Source organism: Homo sapiens, chromosome 8 (genome assembly GCF_000001405.40).
Source record: "Homo sapiens chromosome 8, GRCh38.p14 Primary Assembly".
In the NCBI taxonomy this organism is placed as follows: domain Eukaryota; kingdom Metazoa; phylum Chordata; class Mammalia; order Primates; family Hominidae; genus Homo; species Homo sapiens.
In genome coordinates, this window is record NC_000008.11 from 80,010,578 (window position 1) to 80,034,125 (window position 23,548).

Consider the following 23,548-nt stretch of genomic DNA (forward strand, 5'->3'; position numbering starts at 1 on the left):
ATTTTCCAAGAAAAGCCAGAAATCCACATATTAATGTAAATTTTCCAATTTTTAAATACTTATATGCAGGGGGATAAAGTTTTCCATTTTACAAACCCGGCAAAACACATCCAGGTGTTGAATTTGGCCCACGAACCACAAGTTTATGACCTCTGCTTCAGGAAAAAGAAAGTCACGACATTTGGCTTATGCCAAGTCCCTCAGGTGCTAGAGGGAGGGTATGATGATGAATTTACTTGGTGAACTGAAACACACAGGGAAAAAATCCTTAGCACAAAAGGGTCAATCTAAACTAAAGACAAGTCAGTAGGCCTAGAGGCCAACTAGAGCTGAAAAGGTAACCAGGAATGTATGCCATGAGCAATCATACTAGTTTTATAAATCCACAAAATACAACATTAAAGGTCCTTAAACAAGCACTTTGAAAATAGTTCTTTCTTGCAGAGCCAGAGATAAAACAAATCCTACAGAGGTAACACAGACACAGCTGACTTGCCCTTTAGAGGTAGTGTAAAAGAGTAATTCTAAGTAAGCCATTCTTTTTTTTTTATTTTTTTATTTTTATTTTTTTTTGTAAGCCATTCTTGACAAGAGCAGCTACATAATCCTTTGCTGGGAGCCATTATTCCATCCATAGTAGCTGCCACTAAAGCAGATGAGAATAGCAGTGCTCAAGAGAAGAGCAAACAGTATCAACTTGGGGGTCTCTGCTTGTAACCAGGGCAGGTCCTGCCCACTTTCCCTATGATCTGCTTTCCCATTACTCCACTTTTATGGTTGATATCTACCAGAGTTCCTCTGTTCTTTTTCTTCTTTTTTCGCTTTGGCTATTTTTTTTTTTCAATTGGCTGACTTTCAATTGAAGCCATAGTCCAATTAAAACTAAATGACAGGGGCTAGGCATTGTGGCTCACGCCTGTGATCCCAGCACTATGGGAGGCCAAGGTGGGTGGATCACTTGAAGTCAGCAGTTCAAGACCAGCCTGGCCAACACGGTGAAACCCTGTCTCTACTAAAATACAAAAATTAGTCGGGCATGGTGGCATGTGCCTGTAATCCCAGCTACTCAGGAAGCTGAGGCAGGAGAATCACTTGAACCCAGGAGGCGGAGGTTGCAGTGAGCCGAGATGGCACAACTGCACTCTAGCCTGGGCGACAGAGTGAGACTCTCAAAAAAAAACAACAAAAAACAAAAACAAAAAACAAAACAAAACAAAAAACCAGATGACACTAAGATACAGTAGTAGCAGATCCAGTAGTTAAACTTTTACTGGAGATAATTCAGCCATCACTAGGACCTGTTCCTAAAATAACACAATGTCCTTTTTCAATTGTGAAGAGATGTTTGAGCTAAGATTAGTATAATAGTAAGTGGTATTTTCCCCTTGGTTTTAGAAAATTATTGAGTGCTCTCAACTGTTTAAAAAGATTCTCTTGAGATTTTTAGTAAGTCTGCAGTTAAATATTTATTACATTATAAACTTTATAAAGTTATAGTTACTTTTTATAGGTAACTTTAAAATCAAGTGGAAGTAGAACATTTCTCCTCCATTTTTTGCCTCTATTATATTTTGCAAGGAAGTCAGTGTGTTTTTGGCGAGTGAAATAATTTTACCACAAGCATAAGAACCCTGGATTAACACCTGAATTTGCTTTTAAATTGTAGCTTATTATTTCATTTGATTTTTGATATTGCATCATTGATTTTGGGAAGCTACATCAAACAATCAGACAAACCCTTGCTTCAAAAATCATAGTCTAGAACCATCTCTGAATCCTAGGGCTTATGCCAAAATGTACTCATTTACTTGTCAAATGACTCCTAAAAACAGTAAATGTAGCAACTCCCACAATCCATGTTCACTACAGGGAGTCCTGTTTATAAAGTCTCTAAACTAACATTGATAGCTCCTCTCATGCTGATATAGACTGCAGAGACTGGAAGCATACTGTCACCGCTGGATATGTATCATAGAGCTCAGTGCCTAACCCTGGAAAATGTTACAATAAAGCTCACTAACTGAGCTGTCACAGGTACTAACTTGGAGTTGACTATTTCCTTTAACAGTTGGTCATAGAGATCAGATCTCCTGCTATTCTGCTGTACTATTTTCTCCTTTGAAGCCTGAAAGTTGACAGGACCGTCAAGGTAGAAAGGAGTAAGGTAAAGGAATTACAGACATATGGAACAGTATCACTTTCATTTATTCAATCATGCATTCATTCATTCATCAAACATGTGTTGTCTTTTTAATATATATTAAGCATATATATACCTATCATGCATATGAGGACCATTTAATATACAGCTTGGAAACAGGGGCAACTAGTGCTAAAAGAATATGAGACATCAACTAATCCAACTACCTCAAGTTTTACATGAGTACCATACATGCTATTCAAAGTTACATGGGATACTGAACAGTGGTTCTTAAATAAAACTTGCTGCAGAAGATAGAAAATAGATAAAAACATCATAGCAAACTTAAAAGAAAACAGTACAGAAGAATAACAAATACGAAACCTGACTTCTATGACCAACTCAGCCAATAAACAGCGAAAAAAAAACCCTGAATAAGTCATTTAACTTCTCTAGATCTGTTTTCTCATTTGTAAATTAAAGGATTGGATAACTATAAATTTTCTTCCAATTCTATAAGGTAGTAGGAATTCTTAAATATTCTAAAATATAAAAAGGATTTTATAAAACAATACAAATTAGAAATGGGAGACAACATCCTACCCAGTTACCTCTTTTAATGTAGACAATAAAAACAGCTGGGTGCAGTGGCTCACCCTGTAATCCCAGCACTTTGGGAGGCTGAGGTAGGTGGATCACCTGAGGTCCGGAATTCGAGAACAGCCTGACCAACATGGGGAAACCCTGTCTCTACTAAAAATACAAAATTAGCCGGGTGAGGTGGTGCATGCCTGTAATCCTAGCTACTCAGGAGGCTGAGGCAGGAGAATCACTTGAACCCAGGAGGTGGAGGTTACGGTGAGCTGAGACTGCGCCATTGCACTCCAGCCTGGGCAAAAAGAGCAAGACTCCATCTCAAAAAAAAAAAAAAAAAAAGAAAAGAAAAAAGAAAAAAAACAATAACAATAAAAGTAATGAAATGGTATATATACTTTAACTACTTCATACTGGTTAGCAAGAAAAAAATTTCAACATGCATCTCCAAAAATGACCCACTTCTATTAACCGTGCTATAATAACTTTTGTTTCTTTAACACTAACCAATAAATGTTACGCTCGCAACAGAGTTCTTTTATTGAAATAAACGTATTGGTGGCTCAAGGTGATAAGGTACTTACATTTATCTCTCTCCCTCCTGAAATCCCATTAAATGATGGTAAAATAATAAATTAAAAAATTGTAAAAATTATAAACTCTCAATATTGAAGAGAACAGATGGAGAACAAAAGTATACAAACATACTTTCTAGTGGACAGAAAGCATGTGGAAGAGTGATAATTAATGAAGCAGAGTGAAATTCAAGAAGAAGAAGCTGTGAAAAAAAGAAAGCTATTCTATCCTGAAGTATTCCATAAAGGTATGGAGCTCAGTCATGCCAGGCTGCAGTGAGAAGACAAGCTGAAAACAAGGAGAATAGCTAAAAACAACAGAGGCAGGGCAGTCAATATTCTGTCAAGCACAAAATTCCTCAAGTGCATAATATCTGGTAATAGGCATGTATTATCCTGTCAAAAATAAATATATTTTTTCTCTTCCCTTAAAAAAATCAAACAAATTGTACAGAGGAGAGCCAAGTTTGGGATGGTTTGTTATGCAGCAGTAACTTATACTGTTTCTATAACCTATAGAAGCAGCAAAGAAAAGACTCCAAATGACAGCTGTGCAGCAAGCATATGAACAATTTGTGATGATTCAAATACGAGGGCTCCCAAAGGAAGGCTGGGAAGTCTGGCCACATGGCTTGAACCTTGGCTCTACCGCTTACCAGCTCTGGGGACAGGTCTGTGCACTTAGAATCTCTGTGCTGCTGTTTACTCATCTTATAAAATGGTGTTTGTAATTATATCTATCTATTTTACAAGATTGTTGTAAGGAATAAATGTGTGGCCATATGTAAAGCACTCAAATAGTGTCTGAAGGTAAACAGACCCTGTCAAAAACTTTAGCTTCTTTAAAAATTAATTTCTTATAGACTCAGTCACCACCATCAAGTTTTATTGACTAATCTAGTATTTGTCAACCAAGATGATTTCCCCCCTGCCACCCCCACTCCAGGGGACATTTGGCAATGTCTGGAGATGTGTTTGATTGTCATGACTGAAAAATCAACAACTCTTCTTAGATGCATCTGAGAGGTGGGGGTCACAGGGAAAACTGCTGTTCTCAAATGTGGAGAGACAAGTGAATGCAGAGAACTACTGAAAAGAAGCCTCCAAGAAGAAACCTCTGTGGGAACCAGTGCCGAGGTAGGGAAACCCGAGCTGTAACTGGTGAATTGGTGGATGCTCAGTGGGACAAGTCTGAAAGTTAAAAACTCCAGAGAGACTCAGTTATTGGGGACTCTCACACTTTTGTGAGTTTTAACTCCAGGAGCTCAACCTGGTCCTTACAGTGAATATAGGAGAAAAATCCCCTTGTACTTCAGACGGCAAGTTCTGTGGGGAATAGAACTATTTTGAAATACATCAGAGCACTCTCTCTTATTCAACAATTCATTTATCAAACAGGTGTTGTCTTTTTAATATACATTAAGCACATATATAAAACTATCATGCATATGACATGTGTCCTCAAGGAAACTCTTCAACCAAAGCCTAAACACTTGTCAGAGCCTAAGTGTCCTGGAGGAAGGGAAATAACCAATTCTAGCTGGCACTAGTCATTCTGTCCTACCAAAAGAGAGGGAAACACTGAGAAGCAAATGTGCAGTTCATAGTCCAGAGGCACAGGCTCACTAGAAGACTGAGACCCACTCATAAGACTATAGAACACTTTCCCTCCCCACACACCCTATCACCACATTACTAAAGGCCGATTGACAGCCATTCCTTTTACCCAATACATCATGCCCAGCTATCAAAAAGAAATTACAAGATAGACAAAAAAGCAAAAAACACAGTTTGAAGAGACAGAGCAAGGATCAGAACCAGATTCAGACACAGCAAGGATACTGAAATTATCAGTCCAGGCATCTAATACAACTATGATTAAGACACTAAGGGCTCTAACGGAAGAAATAAGATGTAAGAACAGATAAGCAATGTACGCAGAAAGATGGAAATTTTAAATAAGAATCAAAAAGAAATGCTAGAGATCGAAAGCCCTGTAACAGAAATGAAGAATGCCTTTGATGGGCTTACAGGTAGATGACACAGCTGAGGAAAAAAAAAAACTGTGACTCTGAAGATACCTCAATAAAAACTGCCAAAACTGAAAAGCAAAGAGAAAAAAGATTGAGGGAAAAATTGAACAGAATATTCAAGAACTTTGGGACAACTACAAAAGGTGTAAACTAATGGGAATTCTAGAAGGAGAAGAAAGACAAATACAGCAGAAATATTTGAAACAATAATGACTAAGACTTTCCTTCAAATTAATATCAGACACCAAACCACAGATCCAGGAAGCTCAGAGGACATCAACCAGAATAAACACCAAAAACACTACATCTAGGCATATAGTATCATTTTCAAACTACAGAAAAATCAAAGATGAAGAAAAAATTCTAAAAGAAGCTTGGGGGGAAAACAGCTTTCCTACAGAGGAGAAAAGATAAAAATTATATCCAGCTTCTCCTCATAAATCATGCAATCAAGAAAACAGTGGAGTGAGATATCTAAAGTGTTAAGAGGAAACAAAAAAAAAAAATACTAACCTAGAATTCTGTACCCTGACAAGTTATCCTTCAAAAATGAAGGAGAATTAAAGACTTTCTCAGACAAATAAAAATTGAGGGAATTTGTTGCAAGTAGACCTGCCTTGCAAGAAATGTTTAAAGAAATTCTTTAGAAAGAAGAAAATTATAAAAGTCAAAAACTCAGATCTACATTACATAAAGAAAGGCAGAACACAGAGAAGGAATATGTGAAGGTAAAATTAAAACTTTTAAGTTTTTAATTAGTAATTGATCTAACAATTAACAGTTTGTTCATGTTAAACAATTTGCTAATAATAAAAGGGTTAATTATCTGAAGAAGTCGGAATAATCCTTAATGTGTACATGCCTAAAAATAGTCAAAAACCATGAGGCAAAAACTGACAAAACTGCAAGGAAAAATAGATGAATCATTACAGTTGGAGACTTTAATGTCCCTCTATCAGAAAAGGACAGATCCAGCAGGGAGAAAATCACTCAGGATATAGCTGAACTCAACAACATCATAAATCAACTGGATATGATGGACATCTGTAGACAATTTCATCCAGCAACAGCAGAATATATATTCTTCTCATGCCACATGAAACAGTCACCAAAACAGACCACATTCTGGACCATAAAACACACCTTAACAAATTTAAAGGAATAGAAATCATGCAATGTCTGCTTTCAGACCACACTAGAATTTAACTAGAAATCAGGAATAGAAAGATAGCTCAAAAATCCCAAAATTCTTAGAGTAAACAAATACACGTCTAAATAACATGAGTCAAACAAATCTCAAGAGAAATTTAAAAATACTTTGAACTAAATGAAAATGAAAACACAACTTATCTAAAATAAAAATTAGCACAGAAAGCAATGAAACTGAAAACAGGAAATCAATAGAATCAACGAAAGCAAAAGTTGGTTATTTGAGGTAAGCTTCTAGCCAGACTAAGAAAAACAAAAAGAGAGGACACAAATTACTAATAATAGAAATGAAAGAGAGGACATCACTACATATCCCATGAACATTAAAGAAATACTATAAACAACTCTATACCCACAGATTTGATAACCTAAATTAAATGGATTAATTCCTTGAAAGACAAAGTCTGCCAAAATTCAAGTAAGAAGAACAGATAATCTGAATAGGCCTATGTCTATTAAAGACATTAAATCAGTAATTAATATACTTCCAAAACAGAAAGCCCCAGGTCCATATGGGTTCACTGGTGAGTTCTACCAAACATTTAAAGAAGAAATCAAACCAATTCTCTACAATCTCTTTCAGAAGATAGGAGTGGAACTTATCCTATGAGGACAGTAATATCTTAATATCAAAACCACACAAAGACATTACAAGAAAAGAAAACTACAGACCAATATTTCTCATGCATGTAGATGCAAAAATCCTCAACAGAATATTAGCAAATCAAATCCAACAACATATAAAAATTATATACCACAACTGAGACTTACGACAGGTTTAACATTCAAAAATCAAAATGTAGACAAAGCATTAATAACCAGGATATATAAGGAGTTCAAACAACTCTATAGGAAAAAAATTCTAATAATCCAACTTTAAAATAGGCAAATAATCTCACGCCTATAATCCCTGCACTTTGGGAGGCCGAGGCGGGCGGATCACAAGGTCAGGATATCAAGACTATCCTGGTTAACATGGTGAAACCCCATCTCTACTAACAATACAAAAACAAAACTAGCAGGGCATGGTGGCAGGCGCCTGTAGTCCCAGCTACTGGGGAGGCTGAGGCGGGAGAATGGCATGAACCCGGAAGGAGGCAGAGCTCGCAGTGAGCCGAGATCGTGCCACTGCAATCCAGCCTGGGAGACAGAGCAATACTCTGTCTCAAAAAAAAAAAAAAAAAAAAAAGGCAAATAATCTGAATGGACCTTTCTCGAAAGAAGACATACAAATGGCAAACAGGCTTATGAAAAAGTGCTCAACATCATTATCATCAGAGAAATGCAAATCAAACCTACAATGAGATATCATCTCACCCCAGTTAAAATGGCTTTTATCCAAAAGACCAGCAGTAATACATGCTGATGAGGATGTGGAGAAAAGGGAACCATCATATACTGTTAGCGGGAACATAAATTAGTACAACCACTCTGAAAAACAGTTTGAAGTTCCACAAAAAACAAATAACCAAAACTAAAAATAGAGCCACCATATGATCCAGCAATCCCACTGCTGGTTTTATACCCCAAAGAAAGGAAATCAGTATACTGAAGAGACATTTCCCATGTTTGCTGTAGCTCTGTTCACAATAGCCAAAATTTGAAAGCAACCTAAGTGCCCATCAACAGATGAATGGATAAAGAAAATGTGGTACATATACACAATGCAGTACTACTATTCAGTCATAAAAAAGAATGAGATCCTGTCACTTGCAACAACATGGATAGAACCAGAGGTCATTACGTTACGTGAAATAAGCCAGGCACAGAAAGACAAACTTTACATGTTATTATCTGTGGGAGTTAAAAATTTAAACAATTGAACTCATGGAGACAGAGTAGAAGGATGGTTACCCAGACGCTGGGAAGGGTATTGGGGGTTTGTACCTATTAACCATCCCCACTCCCCTATATGTGATATAGTATACTTATAGTATATAAGGGGGTGGGGATGGTTAATGGGTACAAAGAGTAGTTAGAAAGAATGAGTAAGACCTAGTGTTTGAGAGCACAACAGGGTGATAAGCAATAATTATTTAACTGTATATTTAAAAATAACTAAAAGAGTTTAATTTGATTGTTAACACAAAGAGTAAATGCTTGAAGGAATGGATACTCTATTTACTATGATGTGATTATTACATGTTATATGCCTGTATCAAAGTATCTCGTGTGCCCCCTAAGCATATACACCTACTATGTACCCACAAAAATTAAAAATAGAAAAAAAATGTAATCCATCACATCAATTGGCTAAAGAAGAAAAATCACATGGTCGTATTTCATTTCGTCAAATGGAAAAGCATTTGACAAAACCCAATACCCATTCATAATAGTAACTCTCAGAAAACTAGAGAAAGCTTCAACTTCCTAAAGAATATCTACAAAAAACCTACATATGTAATGGTAAGTAACTTGAAACTTTTCCTACTAAGCACAGGAAGAAGGCAAGGATGTCCCCTCTCATCACTGCTTTTCAACATTGTACTAGAAGTCCTAGCTAATGCAATAAGACAAAAAGAAAAAATAAAAGTATACAGATTGGGAAGGAAGAAATAAAACTGTGTATGATCATGGATGGCATGATGACCTATGTAGAAAATCAAAAAGAATCAACAAGAAAAAAACCTCCTGGAATAAGTAATTACAGCAACATTACACAATATAAGGTTAATATACAAAAAACTATGTGGCCAAAGTATTGGTAGTCATTAATGTGTAAACCAAGAGTATGAGACAGGTCTAAATCAATTTGGAAAGTTTATTTTGCCAAGGTTAAGGACACGCCCATGACACAGCCTAAGGAGGTCCTGAGACACGTGCCCAAGGAAGTCAGGGTACAGCTTGGTTTTATACAATTTAGGGAGACATGAGACATCAATCAATACGTGTAAGATGTACATTGGTTACACTGGTTCAGTCCAGAAAGGCAGGAGAACTAGAAGCAGGTTGCGAGGGTGGCTTCCAGGTCATAGGTAGATTTAAAGATTTTCTGATTGGCAATTGGTTGAAAGGGTTATTATCAATAGAAAGGAATGTCTGCGTGACCATAAGGCATTGTGGAGAGTATGGTTTTATCATGCAGATGAAGCGTCCAGGTAGCAGGCTTCAGAGAAAACAGATTGTAAATGTTTCTTACTAGACTTAAAGAGTCATTTCTATCACTAATTCTGAAAGGAGGGAGGTATAATGAGGCACGTCTGGCTCCCCCTTCCCATCACGGCCTGCACTAGTTTTTCAGGTTAACTTTGGAACGCCCTTGGCTGACAGGAGGGGTCCATTCAGATGGTTGAGGGGGCTTTAGAATTTTATTTTTGGTTTACAAATGTAAATGCTGGTCAATGAAAATGGTAAGTATGAAGAAAAGAGAAAAGCTGTGAGCCAGATGCTGACGAAAAATGGAAAGAATTGAAAAGATTTTTATCAAGGAGCCTTTTTAAAGTATTTCTGATAGAACAGTAGTCTGAAATGGTACTGAGAAACGAGAACGAAGATGAGTCATTTTTTCCTCCTAGCCTTGAGACCCGTTGCAATCTATACTAGGGAAGACCAGAAGGGAAGCAGTGTTATCAAGGGAAACCAAGAAAGCAAGCAAGAAATACTTGTAGAGAAGGTTAAAGGGGAGATTGTTCGTAAAAAGACATAGGAAATTTGTGGCCAACGAACACACATTTACAGAGCAGGCCTGAAGGAAAAAGGTCAGGTTGTAACAAAGAATAGTGATCTCTATCATAACCCATAGGACAGAAGAAGAAAACACTGGAATTTCTATTTGTTTTTTTTAACTTCACCTTCAAAATGTTTTTATGTGTAAATGCTTTAAAATGTATATAACAAAAGAAACTACAGTACGAATATATATATTCGCACACACACACTTTTTTTTTTTTTTTGAGACTGGGTCTCTTTCTGGCGCTAGGCTGGAGTGCAGTGGCACAATCTCGACTCACTGCAACCTCCGCCTCCCATGTTCAAGCAATTCTCCCGCCTTAGCCTCCCGAGTAGCTGGGACTACAGGCATGAGCCACCATGCCCGGCTAATTTTTGTATTTTTAGTAAAGACAGGGTTTCACCATGTTGGTCAGGATGGTCTTGATCTCTTGACCTCATGTTCCGCCCACCTTGGTCTCCCAAAGCGCTGGGATTACAGGTGTGAGCCACTGCGCCCAGCCACAAATGTATTTTTTAAGTAAATACTGGAACATCTGCTCAAAAATTTATTAATGAAGGGACATGATCAAAAAAGTTTAGAAATCTCTGTAATAGTGGTATATCGTGGGAGCAGGAGAAACATTATGCTAGATAGGGAAAAACAGTTACAAAAGGAGACTGGACAGTCAGTCTCTCTCTCATTTTATGAGCAGAGCTGTAAGCCAGATGCTGACAGATGCATAGACTGGGACCAAGGGATGCTTTTAAGGTTTCTAGTAAGACAGAAGTTGTCTGACTAAAGGCTAAGGTATGCAGGTAGGCATGTGGAACTTTACTTCTAACTATTCTTGGATTTTTCTGGTATTCTACACTGCATTGCTTCTAACAACAAAAAATTACCTTACAGGAAATAATGTGGGATAACTGTCACATGTTTATGGAATTCAATGGTCTTATCAGTGCTGGGCCCGAGAGACCAGTGAAATGCTCCCTTTAAAAAAAATTAACTTTCTATTTAAAAATCATTGTAGATTCACATGCAATTGTAACCAAGAATACATAGAGAGCCCCTGCACCCTTACCCAGGGCTCCCAATGGTAACATTTTAGAAGACTATAGTATGATATCACAACTAGGAAATTGACATTGACACAATCCACCAATATTCAGATTTCACCAGTTATACACGTAATCATCAATGCAATTTTATTACATGTAAAGGTTCTGTACTGGCCATCACAGTCAAAATGCAGAACAAGTCCATTACCACAAGGATTCCTTGTGCTGTCCTTTTGTAACTCCACATATCCCTTTTACCTCCCTCCTTCCTAACTCCTAGTAAGCACTGACCTGTTCTCCATCTCTATAATTCTGCCATTTCAAAAATGTTGTATAAATGAAATCACACCATATGTAACTTTTTGGGACTGGCTTTTTTTTTTTCACTCAGCATAATTCCTTTGAGTCATTCAAATTATTTTGTGTATCAAACACTCATTACTTTTTACTGCTAAGTAGTATTCCACGGTAAGGATGTACCACAGTTTGTTTAACCATTCAACAGCTGAAGGACATCTAGGCTGCTTTCAGTTTTTGGCTATTACAAATGAAGCTGTTAGGAACATTTCATTTCTTTGGGATAAATACTGTGTGTCCCAGTGACACCCAGTTCTCAGTGTACATTTATGTCCCTTCAGAGAATCCAACCATCTCAATTTGGGTAGCTGGCCAGAGGCCAGGCAACTTGTTCAGCTGCCAACTCCTAGACTGAGTCCACCACTCATTTCCTGGCAGTTGTCAACAATGGAATCTCCAAAGCTTTAAAAAGGTAGGCAAAACCCAAACTGAATCAAGACTATTTAGTTTTATTCCCAAATCCCAACAAACCAGGCTCCACTTGAATGTGCTTAATTGCTCTTATTTCCTGATATTTAATGCCAATAGATAAAAAACTTAAGGGCCATAATCAGGTTATAAAAATTAAAGTGATTAAAAGAGAAAAATTTAAGTGTAGCCTTAGAAGCAAACTTAGACACATTAAAAGATGGAAGTGAAATTTCTGAGTAAAAATGAGAGTTACGATCTCCAAATAGTGAAAAACCTAAGGTTGGCTTGGGAAGTCATGAGTCTGATTGGGTATAATCAGATCATATGACCACCCAAAAACAAAATACATACAGAACATATACATCTTTTCTTTTAAGAAATGTATAGTACTGCTTATAAGCATGTTACAGGTGTTAACAAAAACCTACTTTCCCCAGAGAATTCTATGTACTTCTTCACTATTTCATTGTTTATATATTAACTGGTCATTTCCTCTAAACATGCTTTGAAAATGTGAGACATACAACATTTCAAAAGATTTTTATTACTCAGAGGTAATTCTCCTAGAATTCTATAATGTAAAAACAGGTTGGCACCATCGTTAAAACCAGAAACATTTTCCATCATTCCTTTACATATCAAATAGTTTTTAAAACACTGGTATAATTCTTAAAGTTGTCAGTAAAACTGATAAGAAAACAAAGGGTTAAGTAAAACTATATAATTTTACTATTACAGTATATGAATTTAGTGGACTTAAAAATTATACTAAAAATAAATTAATTTCCCTATTATATTGAAATAAGCCCTTTAAATCTATATATTTTTATTTTTCCAGTATTCTGAAAGGATTGAACATCTGATTTTAGATATTCTGTCTTCTGGAATATTCGAATATTTTGAAATAAAAAATACTAATAAAAATATTCACAAAAAAGTAAAAAATTACATTTAAAAATATTTGCATGAAATCTAATATATTGCTAAAATAAGGTAAAACTATAAACTGTCATGTAACATCAGTATTTTAAATAAATTTAAAATTTGAGTAAAATTTTTACTGTGCAGCCCTAAAACTCTCTGAAAAACATTTTTTCCAATGTTCTGAAAAGTAGCATGCCACCCTCTACTGCTAAGAGTCATAAAGCAGAAAAACCAATTCTTTGCTCAACTATTGCCACCTTGTGGCTACGAGATGAGTTATATGCCATAGCACAGCTCCCAATTGCCTTAACAGATTCTACAAATTTATATTGTCTAAGTGACATAAGAAGGATTAAGGTTTTAAAAATGGAGGGAAAATGGTACCTGACTTAAATGGTTATAAAAATGAATGGGACGGCCTGGTGTGGTGGCTCACACCTGTAATCCCAGCATTTTGGGAGGCTAGGGCAGGCAAATTGCCTGAGCCCAGAAGTGCGAGAGCAGCCTGGGCAATATGGCAAAACCCCATCTCTACAAAAAAATACAAAAATCAGCCAGGCATGGTGACGCACAGCTATGGTCCCAGCTTCTCAGGAGGCTGAGGTGGGAGAATCACCTGAGCCAAGGGAGAGAGGTTGCAGTGAGCCAAGTTTGCACCACTGCACCCCAGCCTCAGCAACAGAGCAAGACCCTGTCTGGAAAAAAAAAAAAGATTTGGTTGCTACTCTAAAAACAAAACAAAACTAGTTGAAGGGAAAGATGCATAAACCAATATTAAAGCTAATGAAGCAAAGTAAAAGAAAAGTAGGTAAGTGAGCATGGGATGAGTATGGAACCTACAACCACCATACAGAACAATGGCATTACACTTAATGCCATTTAACTTCGGTTCCCTTTAACTAGTAACCCGAGTGTGTAATAGGATAAGAACTTCATGATGCATTGCTCTTGATTAAATTCCTGGCTGCAGGGGAAAGTTCTTTGTAAGGATAATGTGTATGGGCTTATTTCTGAGGTCCACATGTAAGTAAGTCTACACTTTAATGACTATAAGAACTAAATCAATAGGTAAAACTTGGACTTTCACCATATACATATTTTTAAGTCTAATAATAGGCCATCTGAGATGCTATTTTTCATTTGTAATTATTCAACCATCAAACTGTTTAAATTTCATTCCAACTTAAATCAGCAAATATATACTCAATCCCTACTTAAGTGTAAAGCATTATGCAAAGGATGAAGAGGGTGGACTGAAAATGGCCCCTTGTTCTTCAGGAACTACAGCTAGAAAACAGGATAAAACAGGTTTGTAAATGACTTTACTATGAGAGCTGTGGGTATACCATAAAGGTAGTAAAACACAAAACTCCAGAGCATTCAAAAACAGTTTCATCTGTTTGGTGAGATCACAAAGGTCTAAGAGAGGAGGTGATTTTTACAACAGAATTTGCAGCAGGGAAGCTAATTCCAGGGTAAAAGGTAAAGAAATAATGATTTGTTTAGGGAACAGCAAAATTCATCTTCAAAAAGAATATTTTAAGCAGAAACCATTTTACAAATGAAATCTTACATACAATCCCAATATATATAGTGTAAATGTAGTATTTTGTTATTTTAAGTGCATTTTATGAGTTCAAATTGATAGCACTTACTATAAAGTCAAAAACTGTCAACATGCAGTTATGATAAAAATCAAAAACTGAAATCAGGAATGAAAGATGATAACCCCAGTTTCCAATTTCTATATTTTGCTTTAATTGTCGAATATCAAGAAAATCCACCTATTACACCCCATGAGTTGATACGGGGGTGAGGAAACATTGTCATGCACTGTAGGTGGGAGTTCAGTACAAACAGGCTGTAACTCAAATTGTGTGTACACTTTTACCCAACATATAACCTACAAATACACTCTTGTAAGTACGCAAAAAATGCAAATGTTCACTGCAACACTGTGTTAGAAAACAAAAACAAACAGAAACAACCTAAAAGTTCAATAATTAAGGCCTTCCTACTTAAATAAATTATGCTACATCCACACCATGGAATACCAAGCAAATATTATGTAATGATAAGGAAAAATAGTCATACTTAGGTAAAAACTGCAATTTTCAGCAGCAGCAACTAAAACATACTAAGTGCTTATTAAGTATCAGGCACTTGTGTTAAGTGTTTTAAATAATGAATTCATTGAATCTCATAAAAATCTCATGACATAGGGGGAAAAGGAGATACACAGATATTAAGTAATTTTCCAAGGCAACACAGCTAGTAAATGGTAGAGGAACCAGGATTTAAACCAAGATTGCATGACTGCAGAATTTACACTCTTTAACTGTAATATATTTTAAAACAGTATTCATACTACGAACCAATTAATGTTTTTAAATATATATAGCAATACTTAGCTTATACTTACGTGTGTAATATAAAACTCTGCAGCTATGCATAAAAAACACACTCTCCAGCCTTGAGAAAGTAAGAAAAAGGGACTTTTACATTTCACATAATAACCTGCAGGGCTATGTAAATTTTCTTTCTAAAGTAACCAAATATTACTTTTGTAAAATTTGTAAACAATATTTTTTCAAAAACCCTGAATACACAATTGGCGTTTATTCATCTTGTAATCTCACGATACTGTTCAATTAAATAGGTCCAGTAAGTTCAAAAGAGGTAAAGCAAGTTTTTTCACAAGTTGAATTCCTATCAATACCCAACAACTCCTCATATTCCTTACCATAAATATGTTAGAAAAACACTGAAAACTTCCAGTAAATACTAAAACTAAAACTAATGTGGTATTTTCAATTTCTTACTACTCTTAAAATTATTTTTACTCAATTATTCTGGACAGGCACATTCAACTGACATGCTCAAGACTGTACTATTCTTGTACAATTGTTTGTGGACAGTGACACATATATTACAATTCAACGACAGGCCAGGTATAACTGAAGTTCAAATATGCACTACATGTACTATTCATTCATTCACACATTTGACAAATATTTACCGAGTGCCCACTATGGGTCAAGGACTGTGCTAGGCACTGGAAATACAACAGAATAAGAAAGACAAGGTCTCTGACCTCCTGAAACATTTTCTACTGGGAAAAAAGTTAGTAAAAATTTTATTCTGATGTGTCATGTGTTACTCTGGCACCACAAGTTAACATATTAGTGATGACGAATGTCCTTACATTTGGGATTAAAAAAAATGGCATGTGCATGGTTGTTTTCTGGTGTTTTTTGTTTGGTTTTGGGCTTTTTGCCATGAAAAACTTAATTTTATTGTCTCTTTGAATGACACAGCTCAACCTCTAGTTAGAGCATATACTGCCTTATGTTTTTAAATAGCATTTTATATTCATTCATTAAGAAAAAAAATTATTTTTTAGAGTACTTTTAGGTTTACAGCAAAATTGAGAGTACAGTACAGACATATCCCATACCCCTCCTGTGCTGACACACACATAGCTTCCCCCACTGTCAACATCCCCCACCAGAGCGGTACATCAGTTACAAGAGATGAATCTACACGGTTTGATAAATTAAAGTTCATTATTAAGAAAACAATGGGACTTCAAAGAACTGTGTAATTGTGGAAGCATCTCTGTGAAACTATTCTCAGGAAGGCAGAAGGCTGGAGAAGAAACGGCTGGGGCCACATAAAAGCTAAAATGCACTGAATAAAGCTTACTCTGTACCAGTCAATGTACTGAGAGCACGTTAAATGTATTATTTCACATAAACTTCCCAGTAACTCCAGTTGAAGCATTATCTCCACTTTGAGATAAGACAGCAAACTTAGATAGGCTAAGTAAGTTGCCCAAAGTCACTCAGTTGAAAGATGGCAGAAACTGGAAACCTGAACTGAGCCGAAGCTTTTAACCCAAGCAGGGTCTTGAATGGCAGTAGGCCTCTGAAGCCACAGTAGAGAGATGCACCATTGTATATTTAATCTTGCAGGCAGTGTGAATGGAGGTTTAGAAGATTCTCAAGGAGAGCAATAAGTAAATAACCTCATTAAGTCTGATTATAGAGCCCAACTTTAGGAAGATAACTTGATCCACAGTGTGTGTAATGACCTGAACCAGGGAGCAACTGAAGTCAGTGGTATCAATTAAGAAGGAGTAAAGGGGTTCACGTAAACTTCAAATGCTTCAAAGCTAAGAACTTGCTGAACGGAGACTACAACACAGCCTCCTGATATCCTCCTCCCCAGGGAATTTTATTTCCATTAAACCAAGATGTCAAAGACTTGTGAATAAGAAATTGGTGAACTGTACATCACAACCAAACACATTTACCCATCATCTAGTAGAATAATGTTTTCTAAACTGTGTTAGACGGAGAACAACCACGCAGGGTGCAGAGATGCTGCTGAGCCTGAGCTGGACTGAGAAAATCTAACGGATGTGCTGGGACTGCCAGGAAACACCCCAGCCTCCTCCTGGAAAAACTGAACAGCCCAATTAGAACTGCCTTGGAAAGGAAAGGAAAGAGAAAAGGAAAGGAAAGGGAATTCTGGGGACTCTAAAACACCTTGGTTGTTTCCTTCATTAAATAAACAGTACATTTTTAGTTTCAAACACTTAACTTACTATACATGTGATGCTACAATTTTCACTCTTACCACAGTTAACTCAGCAATTGAGAATTATTTTGGGGGGTTTCCGAAGGGGCTTAGAATGTGGTATGAATGGGAGCGAAGCGTGAGTGAGAAATATTAGGTAAGAAATAGAAAAACTCCTTTCCTATACATATATTTGGAAGGGAGCACTGAACTCTATGTTTCCAACCTTACTGCACTTAACTCTTATGGCCTTACCTTAAGGATGGATCTAAAATCCATCCCTTAGGTGGCTTCAGGTCAATCATCGCTATTCTGCTAGTATTTTATGACTTCTCCATATATGGTAGAAAGAATAATGCCCCCTCCCCCTACAAAGACATCCACATCCTAATCTCTAGAATTTGTGAATATGTTACCTTCCGTGGCAAAGGAGAATTAACTTTGCAGGTGGAATTAAGATTGCTAATCAGCTGATCTTAAAATAGATTATCTAGGGAGGCCAATGTAATCACAGGGATCTCAAAAGCAGAAGACGGGCGGGGGGGGCGGGGCCGGGCGGGGTCAGCCAGGCCAGGTGGCTCACATCTGTCATCTGTAATCCCAGCACTTTGGGAGGCCAACGCAGGAGGATCACTTGAACCCAGGAGTTCAAGACCAGCCTGGGCAACATGGCAAAACCCCATCTCTACAAAAAAAAACAGAAAAAACAATTAGCCCAGAGTGGTGGTGCACACCTGCGGTCCCAGCTATGAAGCAGGAGGATCACTTGAGCCCAGGGGGTTTAGCAGTGAACTGAGATCATGCCACCACACTCCAGCGTGGGTGACAGAGCGAGACCCTGTCTCAAAAAACAACAAAACAAACAAAAAAATCCAAAAAACAAAAAAGTAGAAAACAGAGGCAGAAAAGACAGGCCAGGAAGAGATTCTCCTAGAAGCTACGGAAAAGAACACAACTTCACCAACACCTTGATTTTAGACCAGTGAGATCCCGTCTGACTTCTCACAACCCTAACAACAACACATTTCCTGTGTTTTACGCCACTAAATTTGTAGTAATTTGTTACAACAGAAAATAATAAACTAATATACCAGGCTTCTTCTAGTCCTTGGATTTCAGAAAAATTTTGACATCAGTAATTGCTACTAAAATGACCCTATAACCCAGGACACTGCCAGTCTTGTGAACTGTTTGGTACTACTCCCTAGGAAGAAAAATACAGAAATTGAGAGTTTATTTGTATATAATTCAATTTCATGTCTGCTGAGTTTAATTATTAAAAACTTAGGCTTGTAATTTTATTTCTTCCATTTCATTTATCTATAAATTTATGGTATTTTACAAAAGTACTGGCTGAGACAAACGGAGATTTTACTTTACTTTTTAAAAAAAGAAGACATTTACAAAAGAGAGGTGAAGCGCTGACAAGTTAAATCACTTGCCCAAGTTCAGAAAGTGATTCATCACCCAGTCATTAAATTAACAAATGTTTATGAAGGGCCTTCTACTCCAGACAGCAAGCTCCATGCTAGAGCTACTGTTCAGAACAAGACCCAGCAGAGCCCTGCCTCTCCGTGTGAGTCCCATTCTCCTTAGCGTCCCAGGAATCGCCCTAGATCGCCTCCCCAGCAGCGCTCCCCGCTGGTTACCTTCCCACCAGCATTCAATCCCAGGAAAACAAGCGCAGTGTGGACAGACCCGGCCCAGTACGCAAATGCCACACAAAAGGACAACGAAAGGAAGAAAAACACCAAGCACAGATTCTAGGGGCCGAGGGCTGAGCCACAACGCACCGCAACTCCGGAAAACTGGGCCCCGGACCTCAGCTCCCCTTCCTAAGCCAGGCTCCGCCCCTATTCCCGACCCCGCCCACCGCGTCGTTGGCGTAATTCCCGCGACTCCCTCTCACCCGCCCGGGCTCCACCTTCTGTAGGGGCTCCACCTTCTGTAGAAGCTCCGAGTGCCGCTCCAACGCGCTCGCGAAACCGCCTGCGCGCGTCTTAGGCTCCTTGGCATTGGAACTACCACTTTCGGATCCACTCTCAGTGCCTACACCCCGAAAGGGCCTGAAGAAGAGAAACACTCGCAGAAAATGGCTCTCGGCAGCCACAGCACGGGTCCGACACAGCGCCGCCATGACTTCTTTACCTCTGACCTTTGACCTCCCCTCCGCAAGCGCGCGGGTCACGGGGCGGAGCTATGAGAGGTCCGCCCCCCGGACGCAGAGCTCTGGAGGCCAACGAGGCGTGTCTTCCTTTCATCTGGGAGTGGCGTGGGGAAGAAGAGACTTAAGCTAAAATTGGTGGGCTAAATAGTTGGAAAGGGGCCTGGTTAAGTTTTGCGTTAGAAGTGCGTTTAACTTGCAGGAATTTCGCCTTCCTGGGCATCCGTTGGACCCCATTGTACTGTAAATTCTGCTAACGCGACGCTCGTTCTCCCGCCCTGCCGTCCCCCCTACATGGCCGCCAGCACTCGAGTTTGGGGTCTTCACTCAAATATGAGGGTCTCCTTGATTACCCTATTTAGAAGTGGAAGCCCAAATGCAGACTCTCTGGCACCTGTTTTTCTTAGTACCATGTAGCACTTTCTAATATGCCACATATTAATATTAAATATTTAATAATATTTAGTGTCTACTCCCAACTTTTTAAACTTTGAAAAGAGGAACTTTGCTGTAGGGTCCCTAGCACCAGGCACAGATTAGGGCTCACCCAACATTTGCCAAACCCTGCATCCAAGTTTGTCCTTTGCCACTTCTGCAGCCAGTCCACTCACGCCACAAAAATAGTTTTTCTGAAATGTTTTGACACCTCTAGATACCTATTATCTAACTTAGGAGTTCAGAAGTTTTGGAATGTCCCTAAGTATTGCACCGCCGTAGGCCCCCACCCTCACTCTGGATTTTCTTTCCCTTTTCTCCTGCAGTGTTAATTCCCAAAATTTACCCACCCTGTTCAAAACAGCCTAACATCATTCTTAAGTGTTTATTAATTAGTTGTCCGTCTATCTTTGACCCAGCAGTTTAATATTAATCCACAGTTAGTTTTATTTTGGGGGCACACACCTTTCCAGTTCATTTGCAAGTACTTCGAGAGAAAGAATTTTTATGATCACAGACCCTATTTTAAGAATGCCTTGACTATGGGTTTTAAGCTTTTCTGATGCTCTCTAATGGTACAGATAGTGTTAAGAACACGAAGTACACTGATCTCAGAATGGTGCACAATTGTATGAATCACATAAAATTATTACTAGCTAACTGTATGGTAGTCCTTACAAATTCATTAAATTCTCCAGGTGAGTTCTCCCTCTTGGCAGTTAAAACTGTTTATCTCCCGAGACTATTAATGGACTCTTGCCTAGAACATTATTTTCTACGGATAGTGCTACTTCCACTTTTTTTCAGGAGAAAGTGTGGTAAATTGTAAAGAGCATGGCCAGTGGTCTTCAAGAACCCTCAGTCTGACTGGGCAGGGTGGCTTACACTTGTAATCCCAGCACTTTGTGAGGTTGAGGAGGGAGGATTGCTTGAGATGAGGAGTCCGAGACCAGCTTGGGCCATAGCAAGAACCAGTCTCTACCAAAAAATAGAAAAATCAGCCTGGGGCAGTGGTGCATGCCTGTAGTCCCGGCTACTTGGGAGGCTGATGGAGGAGGATCACTTGAGCCCAGGAGTTTGAGGCTGCAGTGAGCTATGTTCCTGCCACTTCACTCCAGCATGGGTGAAAAGTGCAAAACTCAAGTATCCGTAAAAACACACCCCTGGCGTGGTGGCTCACACCTGTAATCCCAGCACTTTGGGAGGCCAAGGAGGGCAGATCACCTGAAGTCAGGAGTTCGAGATCAGCCTGGCCAACATGGTGAAACCCTGTCTCTACTAAAAATACAAAAATTAGCTGGGCGTGATGACACATGGCTGTAATCCCATCCACTCAGGAGGCTGAGGCAGGAGAATCACTTGAACCCAGGAGGTGGAGGTTGCAGTGAGCCAAGATCACACCACTGTTCTCCAGCCTGGGTGACAGAGCGAGACTCCAGCTCAAAAAAAAAAAAAAAAAAAAAAAATGAGTAAGTTTGTATCAAATGACTTCAAATTTGGCCTTAGTTCTGTCTTTGGTAGAGGATCAGAAGCATCAAATGAGAGGGACTGTAAAGAACTGAACAAGTCAATAGGGGGATGTCCGCATAACTTTCTCCTTGCCTATACAAGTGCCAAGAGTAGCATCCTCTGTAATAGTGATGTTTTCACATACGCCATCTTAAGGATTCTGATCCTGCTGTAACCACTCCTTGCTTTATTAAATACAGGCCTGGCTGGGCAGCAGTGCACACCTTTAGTCTCAGCTACTCGGGAAGCTGAGGAGGGAACATCGCTTGAGCCCAGAAGTTTAGGGCCAGCCTGGGCAACACAGTGAGACCCCCACCTCAAAAAAGCCAAGGAAAGTGAACAGAAAATAGTTTCATTCTACTGCTAAGTTCAAGCCTAATACTTTACAGCTACTGGCTTTGGTCTTATCTATAAAATGGTGACACTGCCACATGCCTGAGTAAAGAGTTAAAGGTGATGAGTGTAAGATGCCTGGGCACTTAATGAATAGTAGCTATTGACGGCTAGGTGGAGGTGACCATGAGTTTACTAGAAATTCATGCCTCAACCATGTGTGCAAACCAAGAAGAAAGGATAGTGTCACAAAGTTCTTAGGATGTCGCTTCACCAGCTGGAAACTTCCATGGCCTGCAGCGCCTCTGCTGGAGTTTTGCTCATGCCTGCTGGGCTCATTCTGCCCACTCTGCCCAGTAGGCTGTGCTCATCTTGTGCTGCTGGCCCAGATCCCACACCTGCCAAGGGTGAGCCAGGCATGGGCTGGTGAGGGGTGCGTGAGCAAGTGAGTGCAGGTTCCAGCCACTGCGCCCAGCCAGGCACACCAGCTGCTGCAGCAGGGTGAGCAGCTACAGGCACCGGCTCTGTGCAAGGCTGCAGCTGGACCAGATGGACCACAACCAGCTTCTGCAGGCACCAGTGTCTGGGCAAGGGAAACGTGGTAAAACCCAAAAGCTCAGAGATGCCAGCAACCTCAGAGTCCCAAAGAGGGTGTTACAGCATGTCACAGCCCTGGCTTGGGGAACCCCAAGGTGTGGGCTCCCAGAAGGGCTCAACTCTTCTCGTTGCCTGCAATGTGGTGACCGGCGGGGCGGGGAGGGGGGTTGGGGGGGGGACATTGTTGGGGGGTTGTTTCAGCCCGTTTGTGTTACAGCTCTTTCAGTCCCACCACCCCACTCCAGCCCATGGCTCCTCAGCTGGCCTGGCTCTGCTGCTGCCTCCTGTCATGTGGGGCAGCTGTCTGGTGCCGGTGAAAGGTGGGAAGGCTATAATGTTATAGCAGCTCTGGCTCAGGGAATCCCAAGGTCTGGGTCCCCAGAAGGGTCACCACTCTTCTCTCCTGCAGTCTGGGAGCGTGTCACCGCCCCAGCTTGGCAAGCCAGCCAGGAACATGTTACAGTTCCTTTTGCTCCCGCTGTTCAGCAGGTCCTGAGTTCTTGTCCTGTGTCCAGGAAGAATGAAGTCACATGGACAACCGTAGGGTGAGCAAGGCAGAGAGGAGCGTTATTGAATGACAGAACAGCACTCAGGAGACCCAAAGTGGTCCTTTCTGCAGGCAGGTTGTCCTGATGAGTGTTGAGTCTGGCTGAGTGTGGGGTTTTTATGTGCTCAGAATGGAGGAAGGGTGGGCCTGGAAAAAACACCATCCGATTAGCCGAAATGCATTAATAGAGTTCTCGCTCTGGGTTGTGGGCTCTACCTAAAACTGGCAGCCTGGCCCCCAGGCTTCAGGCTGTCCCTGGCTTGAGGGTGGGGTTTCAACAGGGACCCACCCCTTCCCTCCTAGGAACCTGCCTCCTGCCACCATCAACATGCCATCCAGAGCACCCAGGCTGTCCACACCAAGCTACCCTCAGCCCCTGGCCACCCTCCCATGCTCACTGGTGCCCATAGTTGGGAGGGGGCCGAGGTA

The 23,548-nt window shown here is 39.6% G+C and overlaps 3 protein-coding genes across 4 annotated transcripts in view, besides 4 other annotated features; all 3 read right to left on the reverse strand.

Annotated features, from left to right (window-relative positions):
• MRPS28 (mitochondrial ribosomal protein S28) overlaps positions 1 to 19,682 on the reverse strand; it is a 111,543-nt gene extending 91,861 nt beyond the window's left edge. The window contains exon 1 of the mRNA NM_014018.3: positions 19,459 to 19,682. Within this exon, the coding sequence (NP_054737.1) occupies positions 19,459 to 19,671 (213 nt within the window). The 5' untranslated portion in view covers positions 19,672 to 19,682. The remainder of the gene's footprint in view (positions 1 to 19,458) is intronic.
• TPD52-MRPS28 (TPD52-MRPS28 readthrough) overlaps positions 1 to 23,548 on the reverse strand; it is a 252,848-nt gene that overhangs the window by 91,861 nt on the left and 137,439 nt on the right. The gene's annotated exons all lie outside the window — the stretch shown is intronic.
• Positions 6,177 to 6,471: a silencer, noted in NCBI's record as "tiled region #4480; HepG2 Repressive non-DNase unmatched - State 23:Low". NCBI's record gives its function as "represses a minimal TATA promoter and a strong SV40 promoter by Sharpr-MPRA in HepG2 cells {active_cell/tissue: HepG2}" and the evidence as "EXISTENCE:reporter gene assay evidence [ECO:0000049][PMID:27701403]".
• Positions 13,087 to 13,206: a silencer, noted in NCBI's record as "silent region_19317". NCBI's record gives its function as "represses an Ori minimal core promoter by ATAC-STARR-seq in GM12878 lymphoblastoid cells {active_cell/tissue: GM12878}" and the evidence as "EXISTENCE:reporter gene assay evidence [ECO:0000049][PMID:35858748]".
• Positions 15,817 to 16,111: a silencer, noted in NCBI's record as "tiled region #3052; HepG2 Repressive DNase matched - State 8:EnhW". NCBI's record gives its function as "represses a minimal TATA promoter and a strong SV40 promoter by Sharpr-MPRA in HepG2 cells {active_cell/tissue: HepG2}" and the evidence as "EXISTENCE:reporter gene assay evidence [ECO:0000049][PMID:27701403]".
• Positions 19,405 to 19,834: an enhancer, noted in NCBI's record as "active region_27552". NCBI's record gives its function as "activates an Ori minimal core promoter by ATAC-STARR-seq in GM12878 lymphoblastoid cells {active_cell/tissue: GM12878}" and the evidence as "EXISTENCE:reporter gene assay evidence [ECO:0000049][PMID:35858748]".
• TPD52 (tumor protein D52) overlaps positions 20,505 to 23,548 on the reverse strand; it is a 140,483-nt gene continuing 137,439 nt past the window's right edge. For both annotated transcript variants that reach the window (NM_001387779.1, NM_001387780.1), the window contains one exon: positions 20,505 to 23,266. In NM_001387779.1, coding sequence (NP_001374708.1) covers positions 23,237 to 23,266 — 30 coding nt within the window. In that variant the 3' untranslated portion in view covers positions 20,505 to 23,236. The remainder of the gene's footprint in view (positions 23,267 to 23,548) is intronic.